Below are 25,113 nucleotides of genomic sequence, written 5' to 3'. Positions count from 1 at the left end.
ACCCTTCTTTGTCTAGCGTGGGATGCATGAAAAACAAATTTAGAGTCATTATGATGAAAAACTGTCCTCTTCTGCAGCTGAGAAGAAAAAAAAAATACGAGCAGCAGGAAACAGCTAAGCATGTAATGCACATTGTAAACCTCAGATGGCCATCCTAGGAAATCAATGAAGGGTAGTGCAGCTCTTTAGCCCCAGATGGCCTTTCTCGTAAGATTACTACTCATGAGTCCCATTAGCGACATTGCTTAGAGACTGCTTGTTAGGTTCCTTCCTCATTGCTCTGAGACTCTTATTGGGAGTATGAGGCTTGGATCAGGGGAAGGGGAATTGACATTAGATCTTAAATGATTGGGGTAACAAATCCATGGGGGAAAAAAAGCCACTTGTACTTGTTCCCTATTTTCTTCCTGCTGACCAATCAACTTGTCTGTCCGAGTTACAGAACACCACCCTGGACTTTTCTTTTGTGTAATTTGGTTGCTTGTGGTTGGGTCTGCCATGTGAAGGGACCTTGAGCTGGGGGAAGAAGGTTGGCCTCCAAGTCCACTGAAGACCAGCATCCTGAGATTGCCTGGGGAGGTGGTACAGGGCAGTGATGAAGATCATGGGAGCCACACTGCCCATCGTCACATTTGGGCCACTCCTGGGGAGAGCAAGAGGGAAGAAGGAGAGGTTAGGGTGATAGGAAAGATTCTACTTGGCCAATATTATTATAATGTGGCATTGTGGTCTCTGGATTTAGTGTGAGTTGATAGCTGACTTTTTTCTCGAGTGGGTGCTTTTGTTCTATTTTGTCGGTGCTATTGCAGAAGCATCTTGGTGGTTCCTCTACCTCAAAGTCTCTTGATGGGGTCAGTTCCAGTTCTCCGCTTCTGGCCCCATCTAGTACACGCCACTGCCTCTCACTGCCTGGGCTCTCTATCCTTGACAGGCTGCCTTGAATTTAAGCCCAGTCTGACTTACCTGCCTCAAACACCCACAGTAGTGCCTGGGACTCATGCACCTTTGACTCCCATGGAAGGGAAGTGCAGTAGCTTCCCAGGTGCAATTCTGCTGTCCTCACCCACATTGAGGATGTATGAGAATCAGGTTCTTAGAGATTGGAGAAAGAAGGAAGAATGGGAACAAGATTTCTTCCAATGGACTGTGAGGTTCCCCACCTTACTTTGATGTAAGACAAGTGAGGTTAACCCCAAGCCTGGTGAGGAGGGTTCCCATCAGACACTTGGAAATCCTGAGGACTGTTTCCTGCAGAAGGATGTGGTTGGTGGGATATTCAGGTTTGACTCATGATTGAGAAAGTTAGAGCCTCTGGTTGGAGAAAGAGTTTAATAACTATTTCATTTCCACCAACACATTCAGTACGAATAATAAATAAGTAAAAATAAATAGAAACATTCAGTTTTATTTTGAATAGTAGGAGTAGGGTATAATTTCTGTAGTTACTCTTTTAGTACAATGATGCATGTTTACTGTATGTAAGGCATACTAGCAGAAATTGAGCTCAGCACTAGAAAAGATGATTGCATTCCATGCCATGCTTCTTTTTTACAAAAGACTTCTATAGATAGATTCTCAAAACAACCCACAGCAAATGAAAAGTTATTTGGAAAACTCAGGTTCCAGATTCACTGGAGTGTAGAATCTCTGGTTGGTTGGGGAGGAATTTCCTCTTGCAGTTGTTATTAATAATTATATGAATAATTATTAACTATATTAATATTTATAGTTTTGAAGACCTTGAAGGGCTGGAGACAACAGAGAAGCATTTTTGAACACCCTCTGTAGCCCCTGCACTGTTGTAGGCATTGATGGGTGGTACCAAAGATGGGACACTTTCCCTACCTCCAGAGACCTTGTGGGCTTGCTGCAGAGAGAAGGCAGGGAGGAGGAAAAGAAGAATAGAGGCACATGTGTGTAAATTACCCCCACAGCAGTCAGTTAGTCATGGGAGGCTCCCCAGAAGAACTGTCCTGAAGCTGGCTGAGAGAAGGCAACATTTCAACATAGGACAGTTATCCTTGCTACATAAAATCACATACACACATGCACATATGTCCACACACAGAGACTCACATGCAAAAGAATCCTTTGTGCCTTTCAGTAAACTTTACATGGTTTAGAAAGAACTTATATTTCCTTGAAAGGAGAGTGTCCTTTGTTGTTTACTACCACTTTTTAAACTTAGAAAGAAAAATCTAAAGAGTGTTTATGATTTTACCATTTAATTTCACCTTTGAGATGTGAAAAACTAGTGCTTGGAATTCGTCCTGAATTAAACGACACAATTGCTAACTTGGACTCAAATGCGACTTCTTTTCCCACCTTGTGCCACAGCATCCTCTTCATTTGATTGTGGGAAGCCTCAAGTGGAGCCGAAGAAATGTCCTGGAAGCATTGTAGGGGGGTGTGTGGCCCACCCACATTCCTGGCCCTGGCAAGTCAGTCTCAGAACAAGGTAAGAACAGGCCCAGAAACCATCTATACTGTCCTTCCATGTAAGCCCCACAAAACCCTTCTACATTTACACAGAACCCACACAGCTGATGCATCAATACCTGCCTCTCTGTTTTCTGAAGGAGGAAAAAATATAGAAAAATTAAAAAAAGTTATATTATTATAGGTTCTCTACTTGGAAAATAGCCAAAATACAAATCTTTTTCTTGATCTGGGCAGTTCCATCAAAATCTGTAGGCACAGTGATTTGCACCAAGTTCCAATACTTTTGGAAAATATTGAAGATGCTCTGAGGGTTTCTATGGATATCCATTGTCTCACTGTCAGATGAAAAGAAAGGGAAGTTTTTAGAAATGTGACACTTTGCAGTGAGGGAGGACAAGAGCAAACTTACCTACAGTCTATCACAGGCACAGATTTTTTTTTACACTTTTGTGAATCATTGAATTCAATGCCGAGGCTATTCATCTATTCACAAACACATGAACAAATTATGGGTTGTGATCCCCATAAATGAAGAGTAATCAGTCCGAACCCACAGAACCTGGACATTTTGGGTATCGTTTCAGTGGAACATGCAATTCGTAAGTTCAGTTTGCTTGGGTGTCTCTTAGGAAGAACACATAGGACACAGACCCATCTGCCTGCATGTTTTGCTTCCTCATCTCCTTTCTACACCAGGGCACCTGTGCTCAATTGCTGTTCTCCTCTAAAGAGACTTCCTTCTGTAAGTTTGTGAAATGCCATCGACAAACCTGATCGCATCGCATTTCACTCTGCTGTTGAGTTGATTTTTCTTTACTTTATCGTTTGTAACTTCTTGCTCTACAGAGCTTTCACCTTCCACATATTTCAGATTCATTCTTTCCTAAACTGTGTGGTGGTCTATGTCCTCACTGACTATCAACATACTGCCATCATGCACTTCCTATCTCTATTCCTCTTCGTTGCAATCTGGCTCCAAGTGGCTCACACCATTATTCTGATCTATCAACTGCCTACACAGTCCTAGAAAGTAAGTGAGTCAAGAAACATCCCCCAAAAGTAAACTTTTCAGGTAAGATCAGAAGACCCTCATGAGTCACTGCTGCTCAGGATCGTATCTGGCTCCTTGAAGAGTGACCTTGCATAGATCTTGTCATAAAAAATGAAAGAGACCTTGGGAAGGTCTTGGGCTGGTCACTTTTGTCAGAGTCCAGGGCTGTGGGGTGAAAGCCACAGCTATAGAGCTTCATTCTGGAGTCACTTAGCTTTGCTCTCCTGGGGACAGGCTGTGCCTATTCTTGCCTCAGGCATCAAAAAAAGTGGCACAGATGGGCCCTTCTGAAAAATCTCACTACTGGAGCACAGCTCGAAGTTTCTACTATCCTGACGTTGGGCGGTAGTCCTTTGCTTTGGGAATATGAACATGATCAAAACTGAGTGAACTTGTCTTCCTGGCTTTCTGTACAATGAAGTAGAACAAACCATCCAATTTGACCAAAGCCTTGGCATGTTTTCTTTCTAGGTTTGGAAAGCACTTCTGTGGAGGCACCTTAATATCCCCAGAGTGGGTGCTGACTGCTGCTCACTGCTTGAAGAAGTACGTTTAAGGGAAAACTGACATGGGGTCTTATCTTCAAGACTTTTTTCCTCCCTCTCTTCCTCCATCCCTTCTTTCTTCCCACCCTCCCCTTCCTTCCTCCCCACCTCTCTTCCTTTTCTGGAAGGAACACTAGGAACCAGGGAATGCATGCAGAATCCTGAGGCAGAATTTCCAGGGCAATTGGATGAGAGAGGAGGGAAGTGTTTCTAGAGGGAATCTGCAGAGGGAAGACCCAGTGCAAGTGATTTTTTGGACCTGTATAAACCGCAGGACAGAGCTGTTCACTACCAGAGGCATCAATCTGTATTGCATTGCTCTAGAGCAATATCTGAGGCTGAATAATTTATAAAGAAAAGAGTTTAATTGGCACATGTTTCTGCAGGCTTTACAGGAAGCAGGATGCTGTCATCTCCTCTGCTTCTGTGTGGGCCTAAGGAAGATTACAATCATGGTGGAGGGCAAAGTGGGAGCAGGCATGTCACATGGCCAGAGCAGGAGCAAGAGACAGAGAGAGATGGGGTGGGGGTGCTGCACAATACCAAATGACCAGACTTTGCAAGAACTAAGAGTGAGAGCTCACTGATCACCATGAAGATGTGGCCCAAGCCATTCAAGAGGGATGCACCTCTATGATCCAAACCCCTTTCACAGGCCATAGCTCCATCACTGGGGACTACAGTTGAACACGAGATTTAGGTGGGGACAAATATACAAACTATATCACAGTCTCTGATGAAACAGATTGAGAACAGACCTTAACTGTCAGTTTCCAGCAAATTGTGAATTTTGTTTCTTGCCACTCATAAGTCACTGATTCTGGGTGGCCGAGGGTGTCAGAGGGACAGCGCCAAGTTCATGGCACAGAGGATACCTGAAGGGGCTGGACCATATTTTTCTCTTGACATCCTCATCTTTTCTAGGTCCTCAAGGCCTTCATCCTACAAGGTCATCCTGGGTGCACACCAAGAAGTGAACCTCGAATCTCATGTTCAGGAAATAGAAGTGTCTAGGCTGTTCTTGGAGCCCACACAAGCAGATATTGCCTTGCTAAAGCTAAGCAGGTACTCGCTCACCTGTGGTCTTCACCCCACGCTGGTGAAGATATTTGCTTTATGTCTGGGTTTTATGGGCCATGGCCACTGCATGGCAGTGGGGAGGAACTGTCTATCACATGAAAGGCTCAAGGGCTTTGGGGACAGCATCAATCTTCAACCCCAGCCCTGCCACATGTTAGTTGTGCTCTTTAAAAAGGCAGAAGGATTCGTTTCCTCACGTGGAAAAAGAGATACCCTGTTACCCGTAAAACTTACTTAATGTTCACCAGTTCATCCACATTCATGATCAGGGAAAGGTTGTTATTCCAGGCTAACTATTCTCCTTTCATAATAATATGCTGGAGAGAATCAAATGAGATTGCATTTCAAAGCGCTTGAAAAACCACCATATCGAGCCATGCTTAGTGTGGGCGCCTCTAATCACTGCTATTCAGGAGGCTGACGAGGAAGAATTGCTTGAGCCCAGGACTTCAAGGCTGTAGGCAGCTATGATTGTGCCACTGCACTCCAGGCTGGGTGACAGATCAAGACCCTGTCTCAACAAAAGAAAAGAAAACAAAACAAATGAACAGAAATATTCCACAATGTCAAAAAAAAAAAAAACCCACACAACATACAATTTACAAATGCAAATAATAATATTATTGTTGTCTTCTTTGATTTTCTCTTTCCTGGTGAAATTTTGTTTTATTAAGCCTGACAAAGTGATACCTTTGCTTACATCACTTAAAGTTAGTCTATTTGGACCTAGGTGACAGTACAATCAGCTAAGAAACAGTATTTGTAGGAGAGGCAGGTTTGGGACAGGTGACAAGGCATGTGGGGTGCTCGCTGTGCTGGTGGCTCTGGAAGGCAGGGTGTCAATGCAGACAGGGATGAGCATGGCCTGGTTGGGAAGGCATGGGGCAGGCAGGAGCCTGAGCTGCTCTCCTGGGCCTGGTCACAAGCCCATGGCAGCTTCTCTGGGTCTGTGAACTGAGGGGTGATGTCCTGGAATCCTCTGACACTCTAGGAAGGAGAGAAGGGCCTTTCTGGCTCAGCCTTTATAAACAGTAGCTGATCTCCCTCTTGCTCCCCAGGGTCCTCCCCACCATCCCAGCAAATGTGCAAATACAAGATCTCTGCTCCTCATGGTCCTCAGAGAGCTGGGGTGTTCTGATGGCTTGAACAAGTCACTTAGGAAATGTGGGGTTTTGGAGGCATTCTCTGATAGGCTGATACGTTTTGAGTTTAGAGTTCCCACCGCACATCCCCACACCCCTAGAGTCTAGGGCATTTAGTGCTCCATGAGGGAACCTGTAGAGTGAGGACATCTGCATCACAGGCTGGGCCTTCTAGTGTCCAGAAGCAGAAAGTGTGTCTGCTTCAAAGTTGGTGCTAATGATGATTTTTGGTCAGAATACGGCATTTCTCATTTCCATTCCTTTATCCCCTTGAACTTACTAAAGTAGAATCAGGTCTAAAAACCAGAGTTCTAATCTTTAAGAGTCCCTGGGATTCTAAGGTATATGAATGTCCTTGGAAAACAATACCATTTAGTTCATGCAAGGTGCTTATTTCCCATCCTCTTTCATTTGATGTCTAGCATTTTACTGCATTCTTACCACCACGGTTTAGTAACATTCACGAGGAGGAAGTGGAGGATCCAGATGGAGCAACTTGCTCTGGGCACACAAGGCATTTGCAATTTTATACCCTCTTGATGATGTCTCAGCCAGACATTCTGCCCAGTCATCAATGCCCTCTTCAATTAATATGAAAGGACACACTTGGCATGAGATTCCAATCGTGCACAGAATATACATGAGAAGTGTGCCTTTGTCATCCCTACTTTCAAAGGCTAAGGCCACCCTCAGTTTCTTGCATGCAACTGATGCCTTTCAAATGAAACCTTACATCTGTGTAGTCCATAGGCAACCACAGGCAAATGTGAGGGTGAAACGCTGTGTTCTACATTGTTCTGTGTCAGTGAAGCAAGGCAGTGCCAGCTCAGAGGGCTCTGGGGCTTCAAGGCAGGGATGCCTGGTTGTAGGTACTGCCACTTCCAGCTGGGCAGTGAAACATAACTGCTAATACTTTCCTTACAGGCCTGCCGTCATCACTGACAAAGTAATGCCAGCTTGTCTGCCATCCCCAGACTACATGGTCACCGCCAGGACTGAATGTTACATCACTGGCTGGGGAGAAACCCAAGGTGAGATCAATTCCATTGCCCACGTAACAAATTGTTTTTGACCTTCAGTGCATGTTACAAAATGAGCATTTTGGAGATAGTTGTACAAATTCCTACCCATGAATGTGGTCTACCCACTCCTGACTTTGCCTGGACACCTGTCTATGTCTCCATAATCAGTCTTCAAGGGACTTGGGCAAGGGGAGCGGTGCCATTTCCTTGAGTCTCTCTCTTTTTTGTTTTCAGAATCTTTTAATTTTTTTTGTAATGATTGTATGTTTCCCTTACAACAAAAACAAACACCAGTAGAGGTCTTTGAGTCTCTTAATCATAATTTCAGCATTCATATTGCTTCCCCAGGTAAGTGGGGTTTTGACCCAGCCCTCAAGTTAAGGGTGTTAGATTATTTTTCATGTGAAATTAGACAGACTGCGTTTCTAAACATGGTGCAAAACAGTAACGACAAAAGTTGTAATTAAACTATTCTTCTTCCCAAATACCCACATGTCTAATGTGTGTGTGAGGGTGTTAGGCAGGGGACCTGAAGCTGGGGGAGAGGCAGACAGTTCCCATGGCCCCAAGTCTAGGATGGCATTTGGTATTGGTTGATGGGTGAGAGCAAGAGAGGGAATATTTTTGTGCATGATGTGGTATCAGCACCTGTACTACATTTTATGGATTCCTTCTTCTCTTTGCGGTATGCCCTGACAATAATTATATCCGTCAGCCTTACCCCCTTGGCAGTAGGAAAACTGAAACTGTCTTAAAGTCTCAGCTCTACTTTCTCAGAGGTGCAGGCAAGGGCACTGGGAGTCTGGGGCCCTGGAAAACTGTTCTGACTCTGCCACTTGCCAGATAGACCTGAACTAGACACGTTACCTCTTTGTACCACTTGGCTCTAATCCCTTATCTGTAAAACCAGCATTTTCAAATGGTGCTTTGCACATCAGCCTTTTGCATAAGCTTTGATTTGATAAAATGTTTTTTGTGTTTTTAAAAAGATTAAAAACCACAGGTTTAGATAATTTCAAAGTAGGCTTCCCTTTTTCTGTCATTTTCCTATTATTTTTAAAACCTCACCTCCTTGACTCCTTGTTCCCTTTTTCTGCACTGCTGAGTCTGGGAGCACTGAGGCCAGGTAAAAGGAAACTTGGCAAATGAGGGGCACCTATGGGTGTGGGAGGCTGCTCCTGGTGTTTGCATATTTTAAAATTTAAATGCTACAAACCACTGTGAGTTAGGTATTATTGTTCCTATTTTACCATTGAGGAAGCTGGGGCTCAGAGAAGGTGGAGGGTGGTACAGACAAACCTGAATTGGAACCCTGGCTCCTGCCTATGGGCTGTCAGGACTTAGAAAAGTCGTGAGCTCTCGCTGATTGTTTCCTCAGCTGATGTGGGCTGCAGGGCTGTTATGGGGGAAATAATAAGAAAGTGCATCAAGTGCTGAGCACATCCTAAGCACTCCATCATGGCAGCTCCTACTACTAATAAAGAATAGAATTATATCTAACATGATTCTTTCTTGCAAGTGACAGAAAATCCAACTCAAATTGGATTAAGCAAAACAAGGGAAATTCTTAGTGAGCTGCAAAGTTTTCAGGCTCACATGATGGCCCCAAATCCCAGGTCCTCCCAATCATGGAGTAGGCACTATTTGGGGGCACAAAGGTGACATTCCCATGGCTGCAGATGCTGTGGTGCTGTGGCTGTACCGGGAAAGAATAAGAAAGGCCACTCTCCCAATTATGTGAACAATAGTCTGCCCACTCTGAGAAGTCAAACTTGGGTCACAGTCCTGCCCCTGAACCCATCACTGACTGGCTCTGACCTGCACCAATTGTTCCATGTTGGAGGTGAAGGCAAGACCCCACTAATACCCATAAGGGGCAAAAGTTAGATAGATCCTTCAAGAGGATTATGGGAGGTAGGGCAAAAAGCTGCTGGGCAGCCAGAAAGCAAACAGAGCCTCTATGATACCTCAACTGATGAAAGCATGAAGCTAAAATCATAAGGATCTGGGTGTGAGTTCTGGCTCTCCCATCTTCCATGTGACATTGGGCAGTTATTTAATCTCTTTTAGCCTCCGCTTTCTCATCTTACATATGAGATAATTGTGAGGATTAAGATTACACATAATCATCATCATCACCGTCCACCACTACCACCATCATCCCCATCAACATCATCGCCACCACTATCATCATTCTTACTGGCACTACCATCACCATCACCACCATTCCACCACCATCACCAATATCATCACTGTCAACATCATTACCACCATCACCATCACCACCACCATCATCATTACTACCACTACCACTACTACCACCATCACCATCACCACCATTCCACCACCATCACCAATATCATCACTCTCAACATCATCACCATCACCATCACCACCACCATCATCATCATTACTACCACTACCACTACTACCACCATCACCATCACCACTGTCCCACTACTATCAGCATGACATCACCATCACCACCACCATCATCATTACCACCGCTACTACCAACATCACCATCACCACAATTCTACTGCCATCACCATTAACATTACCACCACCATCATCACTATCACCATCACCACCATCATCACCACTGCCATTATCACTGCCACCATCATCACTATCCTCTATATTTCCTCATCTGTATTATCATTACTACCACCATCACTATCACCACCATCGTCACCATCATAATCACCATCAACACCATCTCCAATACCACCATCACTGTAACCATCATCACCACCACCATGATCACTATCACCATCATCACAATGATCACTGTAACCATCATTACTACCCACCACCATCACCACTACTCCACCACCATCACCATTATCATTACCATCACCATTATCACCACCATCATCATCACCAGCACCACCATCATCACCAGCACCACCATCACCATCACCATCATTAACACCATCACTATCACCATTGGTTTAATCATCACCACCATCATCATAAATAAACATCACATAACCAGGGTGTAGCTGGGTGTTGACCCCAGAGCCCACTCACTGTTTCCTCTCTCCCACCCCCATCCACACATTTCTAACCACCATCCTGCACTGGGCTCCCAGTCTCCTCTGGTCTCACCCACATGTCCACTGAGAAAAGGATTTTCAGAACACCAACTAGACCAGGAGGAGCCACATACATAACTCAGGCCTGCTTATCAACTTTCTACATGTTAATAATGACATCAGATCAATGGGTGTTCTCAGCTTCTCAGAAGGAGGTCAAAATTCTCCCCCTCTCCCCTTCATGTGTCCAGACCTTCCCGGATTTGGATGTACCAAGTGCAGAGTGGTGTTGAGGCCAAGGGGCTCATCCATGTAAGTCTCATCTGCAATCACTGGGCTGATCCCGTGGCCCTGTCTCCAGGGCGCCATCAGAGAGGGCTTCAATCCTCAGGTTACCTGTGGCCCACCCTGCCCTCAGAGGTGCCATCTCTACATTGGCCACGAGATGGCAGCACATACTCATAGACTGCATTAATTTCCCAGCAACTCCTGGTGGGTTTTCCCTCTTATCAGGATGTTTGCCTTGCTCAGAGAGCAAATCTGAGAGCAGTGACACCTAACTTAACTTTCAGCAAAATATTTTGAGAAGGGTGCCCCTTTACACATCTGTGCAGTCCAGGTGATGCATCCCATGCCCAATGCTCGGTAGTCAGGAGGAGCTTCCTCCATGCAGCTCTGCGGAAGAGACTCTTCCACGCTGCTCATGTAAACTCCAGATTCGGTGTCAGTTTTCTGACACCGAAGACAATGATCTAAGTGCAGTCAAGGGCTTTGGGGAAAGCAGGAGAGAGTGCCTCAGTTCTAGCCTGTGCCATGCTTGCAAAGTTTTGCAAAATTCTAATGAGAGCTGGGCTTGCAACATTGGAAACTTGGATTATTTGTGAGAGCACTGAGAAATCCCTGGGCATGTCCATCTGGAAAAACAGCATTTCCTCTGGCACTTTAGCAGAGGTTCTGTTTCAATTTGGCGAAGGAAATTAAGCAGTTTTTCACAAAAGAAGAACTACAACGAGGAGAATTGTCCCTAGTATTTCTTCTCCCTAATTGTCAAGGAAGTGTAAATTAGAAAATGAATCAGGACAATTTCCACCTACTATGTTAGCTAATATTTTAAAAATTGAATATCACAAGGGTGAGGCAAAGTAATTGTTTTCCAGTGACATTTTCCACTGTCACACCCTTTTAGAGAATAATTTGGCAATGTTACTGTGAGATAGAAATATGTCTATATAATTATGGGAACTGAGACTTCAGAAAGTAATAAGGAATAAGAATGAAATTTATGAACAAACATGTGGAAGGTTGGAAGCAAGAGTGGGGCCAACACGCATGGGGAGGAAGCATTTGGGCAGCGACTCCGCAGACCCAGACTCAAGCTGAGCTATACAACCTCCTTACGCCTCAGTTTCCTCAACTGAAGAACAGGAATGACAAGTGCCTGTTTCATAGGACCGTTGTGAGGATTAAGTGAGATATACCACATTATGAGCTTGTGCCTGGAAAGGTTGATTCTTAGTAAATGATGACTATTCTTTTTTATTGCAATAAAATTTATACAACATAGAGTTACTATTTTAACCATTTTTGCAGGTACCACTGAGTGGCATTCAGTACATTCACAATGGTGTGCAACCGTCACCATATTTCCAGGACATTTTTCTCATCCCCAAAGGAAACCTCATGCCCATTAAGCAGTCACTCCTCATTAAAATATTAGTTATGAAGACTGTAGCATTTTTTTAAAAACTCATGATATAACATTGATTGAAAAAATCAGTATAGGAAATTGTGCATTATGATGTAATAGTAAAAGAAGCATATAAAAATCTGAAAAAAGTATATAAAAAGAATAGCAATTGTATTTCTCAGACTCTCTTTACATTGTAAAAATCATTTTGATAGCTTCAAAAGAAAAGCAAAAAGTACACAAACAACAACCAACCCCAAAGCAGCATGACAAAGCCCAGATTGTTGAATCCAGGTCTTGGGAACATAAAATCTTATATGACATTTGCACTTTAATGGGTCAGAGAGTCCAGTGGCATTGGGAGCTGCCTTGTGTTCTGCAGCCTCACGGACAGACAGGAGGTCCAGCTCCACTGCTCTGTTCTTCTGGAATTTCCTCGTGAACAAGCTTTGGCCTCAGTAACCATTTCTTTCATCTTTTTAAACACAGGTACCTTTGGGACTGGCCTTCTCAAGGAAGCCCAGCTCCTTGTTATTGAGAATGAAGTGTGCAATCACTATAAGTATATTTGTGCTGAGCATTTGGCCAGAGGCACTGACAGTTGCCAGGTAAGAAAAGATCAATAGATCAAAGTCTTGTGCTCTCCCGTCTCAGTCTCAGTCCCTTAGACGTCAGTCCCAAAGTGGCAAATTCAGGAAGGTTTTGTCAGTGGAAGACCCCAGTCTAAGTGTTGCTCAGAAACTCCCCAGATCTGTCCCTGAATGCATATTCAGATCATCTAAGGAGACGTCTTGGGGCTTGAGTTCCAGATCCATAGCAAGGGAGCCGTAAGTGCCATAACTACCTCAGGCCACTCACCTTCCTGGTGTGTGCTGGTCACCAGTGACTGAAGTGGTGGCTTTTCCAGTAGAGAGGAAGGTAGAGGGTACAGGACCGAGACAAATTACACACACTTAACAATGATGTCCAGGCTAGCCCAGTCTAAAGGAAACACCAAGTTAGGAAGCAATGCATGCAGGATTCACAAGGGATTATTTTTTTTCCCAGGAAAAAACTAAGTGATGTGGTTTTGTTGAATAGACTTTGCTAAGTACTTAAGCACTGCAGATGCTTGAGTAATATGCTCATAAGTTCCTTTCTGATTTGAATTACTGGGAAAATGTACATATGGATAAGAGAAGGATGGCATCCCATATTAAAAGGTTGGCAGCTTAAAGCTCACATGAATTTTCCCCTACCTCTGTTTAGGGTGACAGTGGAGGGCCTCTGGTTTGCTTCGAGAAGGACAAATACATTTTACAAGGAGTCACTTCTTGGGGTCTTGGCTGTGCACGCCCCAATAAGCCTGGTGTCTATGCTCGTGTTTCAAGGTTTGTTACTTGGATTGAGGGAATGATGAGAAATAATTAATTGGACGGGAGACAGAGTGAAGCATCAACCTACTTAGAAGCTGAAACGTGGGTAAGGATTTAGCATGCTGGAAATAATAGACAGCAATCAAACGAAGACACTGTTCCCAGCTACCAGCTATGCCAAACCTTGGCATTTTTGGTATTTTTGTGTATAAGCTTTTAAGGTCTGACTGACAAATTCTGTATTAAGGTGTCATAGCTATGACATTTGTTAAAAATAAACTCTGCACTTATTTTGATTTGAATTAATTTTGGTTTTGGTCTTCAAAATTTTCATGCTCTTTTCATCCCATCTATTTTTATTTTTATTTTTTAGACTTTACGTCCTGGGGTACATGTGCAGAATGTGCAGGTTTGTTACATAGATGTACACGTGCCATGGTAGTTTGCTGCACCCATCAACCTGTCATCTAATTCGGTATTTCTTTTAGTTCTATCCCTCCCCTAGCCCTCCACCCCTTGACAGGCCCAGGTGTGTGATGTTGCCCTCCCTGTGTCCATGTGTTCTCATTGTTCAACTCACACTTATGAGTGAGAACATGCCGTGTTTGTTTTTCTGTTCTTGTGTTAGTTTGCTGAGAATGATAGTTTCCAGCTTCATCCATGTCCCTGCAAAGGACATGAACTCATCCTTTTTTATGGCTGCATAGAATTCCATGGTGTATATGTGCCACATTTTATCCAATCTAACATTGATGGGCAATTGGGTTGGTTCCAACTCTTTGCTATTGTGAATAGTGCCACAATAAACATACGTGTGCATGTGTTTTCATAGCAGAATGATTTATAATCCTCTGGGTATATACCCAGTAATGGGATTGCAGGGTCAAATGGTGTTTCTGGTGCTAGATCTTTGAGGAATCACCACACTGTCTTCCACAATGGTTGAACTAATTTATGCTCCCACCAACAATATCAAGGCATTCCTATTTCTCCACATCCTCTCCAGCATCTGTTGTTTCCTGACTTTTTAATGATCGCCATTCTAACTGGCATGAGATGGTATCTCATTGTGGTTTTGATTTGCATTTCTCTAATGATCAGTGATGATGAGCTTTTCTCATATGTTTGTTGGCTGCATAAATGCCTTTTTTGGAGAAGCATCTGTTCATATCCTTTGCCCACTTTTTGATGGTGTTGTTTTTTTCTGGTAAATTTGTTTAAGTTCTTTGTAGATTCTGGATATTAGCCTTTTGTCAGATGGATAGATGGCAAAAATTTTATCCTATTATGTAGGTTGCCTGTTCACTCCGATGATAGTTTCTTTTGCTGTGCAGAAGCTCTTTGGTTTAATTAGATCTCATTTGTCTATTTTGGCTTTTGTTACCATTGCTTTTAGTGTTTTAGTCATGAAGTCTTCTCCCATGCTATGTCCTGAATGGTATTGCCTAAGTTTTCTTCCAGGGTTTTTATGGTTTTAGGTTTTGCATTTAAGTCTTTAATCCATCTTGAGTTAATTTTTGTATAAGTAATGCCCTTCTTTGTCTCTTTTGATCTTTGTTGGCTTAAAGTATATTTTATCAGAGACTAGAATTGCAATCCCTGCTTTTTTTTTTCTTTTTGCTTTCCTTTTGCTTGGTAAATATTCTTCCATCCCTTTATTTTGAGCCTATGTATGTCTGCACATGAGATAGGTTTCCTGAATACAGCACACCAATGGGTCTTGACTCTTTATTCAATTTGCCAGTCTGTGTCTTTTAATTGGGGGCATTTAGTCCATTTACATTTAAGGTTAATATTGTTATGTGTGAATTTGATCCTGTCATTATGATGCTAGCGGGTTATTTTGCCCATTAGTTGATGCAGTTTCTTCATAGTGTGGATGGCCTTTACAATTTGGTAGTTTTTGCAGTGGCTGGTACCAATTGTTCCTTTCCATGTTTAGTGCTTCGTTCAGGAGCTCTTGTGAGGCAGGCCTTGTGGTGACAAAATCTTTCAGCATTTGCTTGTCTGTAAAGGATTTTATTTCTCCTTTGCTTATGAAGCTTAGTTTCGCTGGGTATGAAATTCTGGGTTGAAAATTATTTTCTTTTAGAATGTTGAATATTGGCCCCCACTCTCTTCGGGCTTGTTGGGTTTCTGCAGAGAGATCCACTGTTAGTCTGATTGGCTTCCCTTTCCGGGTAACCCAACCTTTCTCTCTGGCTGCCCTTAGAAATTTTTCCTTCATTTCAACCTTGGTGAATCTGACGATTATGTCTTGAGGTGGCTCTTCTCGAGGAGTATCTTTGTGGTGTTCTCTGTATTTCCTGAATTTGAATGTTGGTCTGTCTTGCTAGGTTGGGGAAGCTCTCCTTGATAATATCCTGAAGAGTGTTTTCCAACTTGGTTCTATTCTCCCCATCACTTTCAGGTACATCAATCAAATGTAGATTTGGTCTTTTCACATAGTCCCATATTTCTTGGAGCCTTTGTTTATTCCTTTTCATTCTTTATCCTCTATTCTTGTCTTCTTGCTTTATTTCATTAAGTTGATCTTCAATCTCTGATATCCTTTCTTTTGCTTGATCGATTTGGCTATTGATACTTGTATATGCTTCACAAAGTTCTTATGCTGTGTTTTTCAGTCAGATCAGGTCATTTATGTTCTTCTCTAAACTGGTTATTCTACTTAGCAATTCATGTAACCTTTTTTCAAGGTTCTTAGCTTCTTTGCATTGGGTTAGAACATGCTGCTTTAGCTCGGAGGATTTTGTTATTATACACCTTATATAATAGCCTGATATAACTATAAGATTTTTTTGTAAGCACCATCGTAACCACAAAGCAAAAACCTAAAGTAGATATACAAAAGATAAAAAGGAATCAAAGCATACCACTAGAGAAAATCACTTAATCACAAATAAAGATACGAAGAGTGGAATAAAGGAACGAAGGGTCTACAAAACAACCAGAAAGCAATTAACAAAATGGTGATAGCAGATCTTACCTATAAATAATTATCTTGAATGGAAATGGATTAAATTTTCCAATAAAAAGACATACAGTGGCCAAATAGATTAAAAAATAAGATCCAACTATATGATGCCTATAACACACTCACTTCACCTGTAAGGACTCAAACAGACTGAAAGTAAAGGGATGGAAAAAATATTCTATGCAAATGGAAACAAGAAGATAGAGGGGTAGTTATACAGATTGAGTATCACTAATCCAAACATCTGAAATCTGAAATACTCCAAAATTAAAAATGTTTAAGTGCCAACATGATGTTCAAAGGAAATGTTCTTCGGAGCATTTTGGATTTTTGTGTTTAGGGATGCAAAAACAGTAAATATATAATTTGTATTAGTCCATTCTCACACTGCTATAAAGAATACTACAAAGAGACTGAGTAATTATAAAGGAAAGATGTTTAATTAACTCAGAGTTCCACAGGCTTAACAGGAAGCATGGCTAAGGAGGCCACAGGAAACTTATAATCATGGCGGAAGATGAAGGAGAAGCAGGCACCTTCTTCACAAGGTGGCAGGACGGAGTGTGAGTGTGTGAAGGAGGAACTGTCAAACACTTATAAAACCATCAGATCTTGTGGGAACTCACTCACTCTCACAAGAACAGCATAGGGAAAACCGCCCCCATGATCCAATCCCCTCCCACTGGGCTCCTCCCTTGACACATGGGGATCATGAGGGTTACAATTCACGATGAGATTTGGGTGGGACACAGCCAAACCATATCATAATGCAAACATTGCAAAAACAATTCAAAATTCAAAACATTTCTGGTTTCAGGCATTTTGGATAAGGGAAACTCAACTCAACATGAGGTAAAGCAGACTTTAAGTCAAAAACTGTAAAAAGAGACGAAGAAGAATGTAATAATAAGGAGATCAGTTCATTACAAATATATAGCAATTATAAATATATATTAATATATATACCCAAAATTGTAGTACCTACATATAGTAACTAAAACAAACATTAATAGATCTCACAGGAGAGCTACACTGTAATATAATCATAGTAGCACACTTGAATAGCTCCACTTTCACTAATGGACAGATCATCCAGACAGAGAATCAATATGGAAACACGAGACTTAAACTACACTTTAGCCAAGTAGACCTAACAGAAATATATAGAACATTCCATCCAACAGCAGTAGAATACACATTATTCTCAAGTGCACAGGGAATATTCTCCAGAATAGATCATATGTTAGGTCACAAAACTAGTCAAAAAATGTAAGAAGATTGAAATCATATCAGGTTTTTTTTTTAGATCATAATCGTATGAAACTAGAAATCAATAATGGGGGAATATTGGAAAATCCACAAATAGATAGAAATTAATCAATATGCTCCTGAACAATCAATGAGTCGAAGAAGATATTAAAAGAGGAAATTTTAAAAAATCAAGACATGAGTTCATGTCCTTTGCAGGGACATGAATGAAGCTGGAAACCATCATTCTCAGCAAACTATCATAAGGACAGAAATCCAAACACCGCATGTTCTCACTCATAGGTAGGAATTGAACAATGAGAACACTTGGCCACAGGGCGGGGAACATCACACACCAGGGCTTGTCAGGGGGTGGGAAGCTGGTGAAGGGATAGCATTAGGAGAAATATCTAATGTAAATGACGAGTTGATGGGTGCAGCAAACCAACACGGCACATGTATACCTATGTAACAAACCTGCACGTTGTGCACATGTACCCCAGAACTTAAAGTATAATAATAAAAAAAGAAATATTTGTTTTTGATTTATATGCCAATCAGACAAAATGTGAAAAGCCCTACTGAAATTAAGTATCACCATGAAAGATAAATTCTGGATAATTTTTTCAAGTTTTAACAATGTAGCTTTAATTGGAGAAAGCTATCATTTGGAATGAGTTAATCTATCCTATACTAAAATAAGTCACTTGCTTTAAAACATAATAAATATGATTTTGAATTGAAAACAAAAACAACTCAAGACAAAGGAAAATGGACACACTAACATACCAATAATTTATAGTATGCAGCAAAAGTGGTTTTAAGAGGGAAGCTTTTACCAATAAACACTTCCATTAAAAAAGAAGATCTCAAATAAGCAACCTAAGATTACACCTCAACAAACTAGACAAAGAACTAACTAACCCAAAAGTTAGTAGAAGGAAAGAAATAATAAAGATCACATCAGAAATAGTAAAGACTAAAAAACTGATACCAAAAAGAAATAAAACTACTAGTTGGTTTTCAATAAAATAACAAAATTGACCAACTTTTAGCTAGATTAAGAAAAACAGAGAATACTCAAATAAAACCAGAAAGAGGAGACATTACAATAGATACTACAGAAGTACAAACGATCATAAGAGACTACTATGAATAATTACATGCCAACAAATTGGATAACTTAGAAGAAATGGATGAATTCCTAGAGCAAAAAACCTACAAAGACTGACTCAGAAAGAAATAGAAAATCTGAACAGACCAATAATGTGTACATGATTGTATCAGTAATAACAAGTCTCCCATCAATGAAAAGGCCAGGACCTAATGGCTTCACTGCTGAAGCATACCAAACATTACAAAGACTAATATCAACCCTCCTCAAACTCTTCTTAAAAACTAAAAAGAAGGAATGCTTTCACATTCATTTTATGAGGATAGCATTACACTGATACTAAACACAGAAAAATAATACGCTAATAAAAGAACATTACAGGCAATATCCCTGATAAACATATGTGCAAAAATCCGCAACAAAATACTAGAAAACTGAATCCAGTAGCACTTTAAAAAGATCATTCACCATGATCAAGTGCGATTTGTTTCACGAATGCAAGAATAGTTCAACTTACACAAATAAATAAATGAAAGGATGGATGATAAAAATGTGTATCTATATATATATGTTTTATACACACACACACACACACACACACACACACACACAGAGGAATATTATTCAGCCTTAATGAAGAAGAAAATCCTGCCTTTGCATCAACCTGGAGGACATTATAATAAGTGAAATAAGCCAGACACAGAAAGGCAAATACTGTGTGATCTCGCTTACATATGGAATCTAAGAAAGTCAAATTCCTAGAAATAGAGAGTAGCTTAGTGATTGCCAGAGCCGTGGAAGGGGGAAATGGAGAGATGTTGATCAAAGGATACAACTGTATAGCTTTGCAAGATAAATAGGTTCTGGAGATCTAATGTGCAGAATGGTGACTAGAGTTAATAATACTGTATTGCATACTTGAAATTTGCTAAAAGAGTTGATCTTAAGTGTCCTCACCATATACACAAAAGTATTATGTGAGGTGGTGAATATTTTAATTAGCTTATGATAATAATTTCACAGTGTACATCTATATTAAGGCATTACATTGTACATCTTAAATATATATAATTTTTATTTGTGAAGTGTACCTCAATAAAACTGGAAAAAATAATTGAAAAGTAATGAAAAAAATTAAAAGCTATTATGTGTCAAATGACATTATCAAGAAAGTGAAAAGCAACCTACTGATGAAGCAAACCTATTGACAAAGGCCTGGTGTCCAGAATATATTAAGATCTCTAGGCTGGGAGCAGTGGCTCACACCTGTAATCCCAGCACTTGGGGAGGCCAAGGTGGGAGGATCACTTGAGCCTGGGAGTTCGACACTGCAGTGAGCTATGATTGGGCCACTGCCCTCCAGGCTGCGTGACAGAGTGAGACTGCCATCTCTTAACCCACTTCTTATTTAGAAAAAGAAAATATGTAGCTTGCTGCCTGCATAGTATTCTTGGGGCAAATGGGAAATGAGTTAAAAAAAAAAAAAAGAACTCTTACAACTCAACAATAAAAAGAAAAACAAGAACGTGAATAGACATTTTTTCCAAAAAAGATATACAAATAGGCAATAAGTACATGAAATGATGGTCAACATCATTAGTCATTAAGAAAATGCCAATAAAATCACAATGAAATAAGACTTCATATCCATTAAAATGTCTATAATTTAAAAAATGGAAAATAACAAGCATTTGTGAGGATGTGGAGAAATTAGAATCCTGTATATTGCTGGTGGGAATGTACAGGGAAAATGGTTTGGCCACTGTGGAAAACAATTTGACAGTTCCTTAAAATGCTAAACATAGAATTACCATGTGATCTAACAATTTTACTCTTAGGTGTATATATACAAGAATTGAAAACAAGTGCCCAAACAGATACCTTGCATGAGAATGTTCATAGCAGCACTGTTACAACAGCCACACCCAAATGTCAATCAATAGATGAGGGGATAAACAAATTGTGGTTTATACAGCTACAAAAAGGAATGAAGTACTGGTATCCGCTACATGGCTGAAACTTGAAAGCAAGGGCTGGGATGGGGTCATGGAAAGTACCAGCTTATTGGGTACTGCATTGTGCTTTGGGGTCATGAAAATGTTTTGGAACTGGATGGAGGTGGTGGTTGCCAATGTGAACATACTAAATACAACGCATTGTTCACTATAAGACTGCTACTTTTCTTATGAGAATTTCACTTCAATTAAAAAATACCTTCCATGTATCCTTTCTAAGGATGATACTAGAATATTTGCTTTGGCAAAATGAGGAAGTAACTTTTTTTAAAAAGGAAGATGTGGGATCCATGAAACGGGATCAAATATCAGAGAGGAAAGGGGGTCTTCTGGATGACAGTCCATGGAGATCCCACAACTGCACAGCAGGCCGGCTGTGCACCCAGGCCACACCAGAGCAGAGCCGGTGGTTCCCGAGGAGCTCTCTGGAAGAAAAACGCTAGATGGCCTGATTGGTTTGGGGGCATATTGAAAAGGTATATAACTGAGAATTTGGAGTGGAATTAGGAAACAGACATAAAAGCTTACAGAAAAGAAAATAATGAATTCTAGGGAGAAATATAAAAGGATACTACAGGCCTCAGTTACATAAACACTGAATATTTACTTAACCAAAATTACAATATAATTACATAATTATTTTAGGTACATATGGCAAAAGGATGTGTGGGTGTATGTAGTATGTACGGTGTGTGAAGTGTATGTGTGTGGTATGTGGACGGTATGTGTATGCTGTGTATGCCAATAAAATCACAATGAAATAAGACTTCATATCCATTAAAATGTCTATAATTTAAATGTCTATAATTTTAAAAATGGAAAACACTTCTCATATGGCAGGAGCAGGAGCAAGGGTGGGGGAGGTACCACACACACTTAAACAACCAGATCTCCTGAGAACTCACTATCAGGAGAACAGCACCTGGAGAAGGTGCTAAACCATTCATGAGTTACTGCCCTATGAGCCAATCACCTCCCATCAGACCCCGCCTCCACACTAAGGATTACAATTTGACTTGAAATTTGGGCATGAACACAGATCGAAACCATATCAATAGGTAATGACTAAAACTGAAAAAAGAAGTACCACAGTCAGAAAGTTATTTAGAGAGCTGAAGGTAAATGCCAATAGGATCAGTTGAAAGAATTGGAGGTGGCCGGGTGCGGTGGCTCAGGCCTGTAATCCCAGCACTTTGGGAGGCGGAGGTGGGTGGATCGCCCTGAGGTCAGGAGTTTGAGACCAGCCTGGCCAACATGGTGAAACCCAGTCTCTACTAAAAATACAAAAATTAGCCAGGCCTGGTGGTGGACGCCGTAGTCCCAGCTACTCAAGAGGCTGAGGCAGGAGAATCGCTTGAACCAGGGAGGTGAAGGTTGCAGTGAACCGAGATCGTGCCACTGCACTCCAGCCTGGGTGACAGAGCAAAACTCCATCTCAAAAATAAATGAAATAAAGAATTGGAAGTGTTTGCCTCTGGAGAGAAGGAAACGCAGTAATTCTGTAAAAACAGAACTTTTTACTTTTTTTCTTTTTTTTTTTTTTTTTGAGACAGAGTCTCCTTCTGTCACCCAGGCTGGAGTGCAGTGGTGCAGTCTTGGCTCACCGCAACCTCTGCCTCTTGGGTTCAAGCAATTCCCGTGCCTCAGCCTCCCAAGTAGCTAGGATTACAGATATGGGCTGCTATATCCAGCTAATTTTTTTTTATTTTTATTAGAGATGAAGTTTCACCATGTTGGCCAATCTGGTCTCAAGCTCCTGGACTCATGATCCTCCTGCCTCGGCCTTCCAAATTGCTATGATTACAGGTGTGAGCCACCATGCCTGGACAGAACTTTTTGACTCTTTAAACTATGTGCATATATAAAGCTGATTTAAAAAAAACCAAGTAAAATAATTTTAAAATGTTCCAAAACAGATTGGATGGGTACACACTTCATCATGAGTGGTTGAGGGAGACTGGGTTAGAGATGAGGAAATTCCAGGGACTGGGGAAAAGTTAAAATGACAAACTGTTCACAATTGTTAACTGCAGGTTGTGGGAAAGTTGGTAAGTTGCTACAGTGTTTGTTCCCTCTGTAGGTTTGCATATATTTAACATTTCTTAAATTAGCATAATAATGAACTGTGTAATCAGCTGTAGAGTTGAGGGTGTGGAGCTGGCACAGGACAGCTGAGCTACTGGTTTAAAATAAATGACATTTAAAAAAATGGCTATTTGTAGAATTAACAGATATAAGACACCCTGATCAAGGGATGATAAGAAAGGACTCCAGGGCTCTGTCTCAGCTGTCTTGGCAACACCTGGAAGACATGGGCCTCTGCAAGGTCTCATACTTTCAGGAGGTGTTGATGAAGGATATGGACAGATCTGAAGCTCTGGGCACTGCATGGTCTGAGAAGAGAAGCTCCGGAAACGCGGGAGCTGAGTGCAGATGCAGAAGGGCTGTCATCCAGCAGAGGGGTAGGTGACAACTGGCCTAGCGAGTGACCCTTATCATGGCTACATTTGTTGATCACTTTCTTTGTATGAGGCACTGCTGTGATTGCATTAAATTTCCACTTACCTAAATCCAACGTTGTGCACTTGTGAATTTCTACTCTTACAAAAAACACAACGGCAACAACCTCAAACCAGTAATCTAGTCAAAAAAGCAATTCCCAAGGCATGACATTCAGATTCATCAGCACTCACAGAGACTACAGTGATTGCTGATAACGCCAACTTAATACCTGGCCAACAGCATGGATCCTGACCTCCACTTTTCTTGTGTGTTTACAGAACCACAAAAAGGTGCAGTGTTTTCATTTTTGTTGCATGTTTCACAGGTCTATATAACCCACTTTTAAAGTAAAAAAGGGTCTTAGTGATGAACAATAAAAGTATAAATTCAATACACCATATACCTTTGTCATATGACTATATATAGACTTTTACATACCCTTGCATATGGATCATATGGATCAAATTAGTAGATGAAATAGAATTTTTAAAAAATGAAATATTTTCTGGTTATCAAGCATATCAGCTACCTTTAAAATATTAATTTTACTGTACTTATATTAATTATTGAAGCTTAAACTTCAGAATAGTGGAGGATAAAAGTAAAATATAGCAAAAAGATTTCTCCTTTATTACTTCTTTAAATCAGAGAAAAGACATTTAAAGAGAAAATAGGAGTATCTTCCCCACTCCACATAACTTATGAAGTAAGCAGCTAATTGATCATATCATAAAGAGGCACCAGATAAAATCTGTGTGGCTCAAAATATTAGGAGCACTGCTTCTGTGAAATCAGTTAAAGTAAACGCCCATATTGGTCATGCATTGATACACATGCTTATTTTCCTAAGTGAATTCTCCACAATTCTGAAAATCAGTGAAAAGATCATCTCATGTTAGTTCCACACAAAACCAAGCAGTGCATGTGACTGTCCATGTTTCCAGGCATACACATCCCGTTTCACCAGGATCAAAGTGCCCAATGGGAAGCAACTTCTTGCCTTTTAAACCAGATTCAGTAAACAAAAATTATTTTGCATAGCTGACACAGGAGCACATCGATTGCATGAAAAAGGTCACTCTGTGGAAGGAAGCTTACAACGTCAAATTGAGAGGTGACAAAGTGCTAGCAGCCCTCGCTCACTCTGGGCGCCTCCTCGGCCTTGGCGTCCACTCTGGCCATGCTCTAAGAGCCCTTCAGCCCACCACTGCGCTGTGGCGGGCCCCTCTCTGGGCTGGCCGAGGCGGAAGCCGGCTCCCTCTGCTTGCGGGGAGGTGTGGAGCGAGAGGCGCGGGCGGGAGCCGGTGCTGCGAGCGGCGCTCGCGGGCCAGCGCGAGTTCCGGGTGTGCGCGGACTCAGCGGGCCCCGCACTCAAAGCAGCCAGCAGGCGCCGCAGGCTCCTGGCAGTGAGGGGCTTAGCACCCGGGCCAGCAGCTGCAGAGGGTGCGCCGGGTCCCCCCAGCACTGCCGGCCCGCCCGCACCGCGCTCGAATTCTCGCTGGGCCTCAGCCGCCTCCCCGCAGGGATAGGGCTCGGAACCTGAAGCCCGCCATGCCCGAGTCCCCCCTCCCCCCGCATCCCCTCCCGGTGCCCCGCCTCGTGCCGCTGTCGCACGTCCATTGCCGGCATTGCCGGCGCGCCTCGCGCGGTCCGGAAGCATCAGTGTCCTCCCGGAGGCCTAGGGCCCGCTGCGGCTCCCACCCTGGCGACCCTGGATTGCTCTCCTCACTCTCAGCCTCACGCCCCACTTCTTCCACCCCAAATTTTGCGGCCTCAGAAGGACACGAACTATCTGCTGGCTGAAGTCGCTTGGGACAAAACCCGCCACAGGATTTTGGGAGCCGGGCACTCCCTCCCACGGGAGGCGAGGGCAAAATGTGGGGTCTGCTGCCCCCTGC

At 41.9% G+C, this 25,113-nt stretch overlaps 1 protein-coding gene and 1 long non-coding RNA gene across 2 annotated transcripts in view, besides 3 other annotated features; one reads left to right on the top strand and one right to left on the bottom strand.

The window, feature by feature from the left end:
* Positions 1 to 13,664, top strand: part of LPA (lipoprotein(a)) — a 132,794-nt gene extending 119,130 nt beyond the window's left edge. Inside the window, exons 34-39 of the mRNA NM_005577.4 lie at positions 2,338 to 2,458; positions 3,965 to 4,039; positions 4,963 to 5,103; positions 7,185 to 7,291; positions 12,497 to 12,615; positions 13,256 to 13,664. Coding sequence (NP_005568.2) covers positions 2,338 to 2,458; positions 3,965 to 4,039; positions 4,963 to 5,103; positions 7,185 to 7,291; positions 12,497 to 12,615; positions 13,256 to 13,417 — 725 coding nt within the window. The 3' untranslated portion in view covers positions 13,418 to 13,664. The remainder of the gene's footprint in view (positions 1 to 2,337; positions 2,459 to 3,964; positions 4,040 to 4,962; positions 5,104 to 7,184; positions 7,292 to 12,496; positions 12,616 to 13,255) is intronic.
* Positions 4,382 to 24,796, bottom strand: LOC124901454 (uncharacterized). Its single transcript, XR_007059844.1, has 2 exons — positions 24,314 to 24,796; positions 4,382 to 5,629 (listed from the first exon to the last, which is right to left on the bottom strand). It is a non-coding gene; the product is annotated as an uncharacterized LOC124901454 (long non-coding RNA).
* Positions 24,403 to 24,512: a silencer, noted in NCBI's record as "silent region_17761". NCBI's record gives its function as "represses an Ori minimal core promoter by ATAC-STARR-seq in GM12878 lymphoblastoid cells {active_cell/tissue: GM12878}" and the evidence as "EXISTENCE:reporter gene assay evidence [ECO:0000049][PMID:35858748]".
* Positions 24,583 to 24,662: a silencer, noted in NCBI's record as "silent region_17760". NCBI's record gives its function as "represses an Ori minimal core promoter by ATAC-STARR-seq in GM12878 lymphoblastoid cells {active_cell/tissue: GM12878}" and the evidence as "EXISTENCE:reporter gene assay evidence [ECO:0000049][PMID:35858748]".
* Positions 24,703 to 24,832: a silencer, noted in NCBI's record as "silent region_17759". NCBI's record gives its function as "represses an Ori minimal core promoter by ATAC-STARR-seq in GM12878 lymphoblastoid cells {active_cell/tissue: GM12878}" and the evidence as "EXISTENCE:reporter gene assay evidence [ECO:0000049][PMID:35858748]".

Source organism: Homo sapiens, chromosome 6 (genome assembly GCF_000001405.40).
Source record: "Homo sapiens chromosome 6, GRCh38.p14 Primary Assembly".
Classification (NCBI taxonomy): Eukaryota; Metazoa; Chordata; class Mammalia; order Primates; family Hominidae; genus Homo; species Homo sapiens.
The sequence above is the reverse complement of the archived record's forward strand: the minus strand, read 5'-3'. Positions and strand labels throughout refer to the sequence as shown.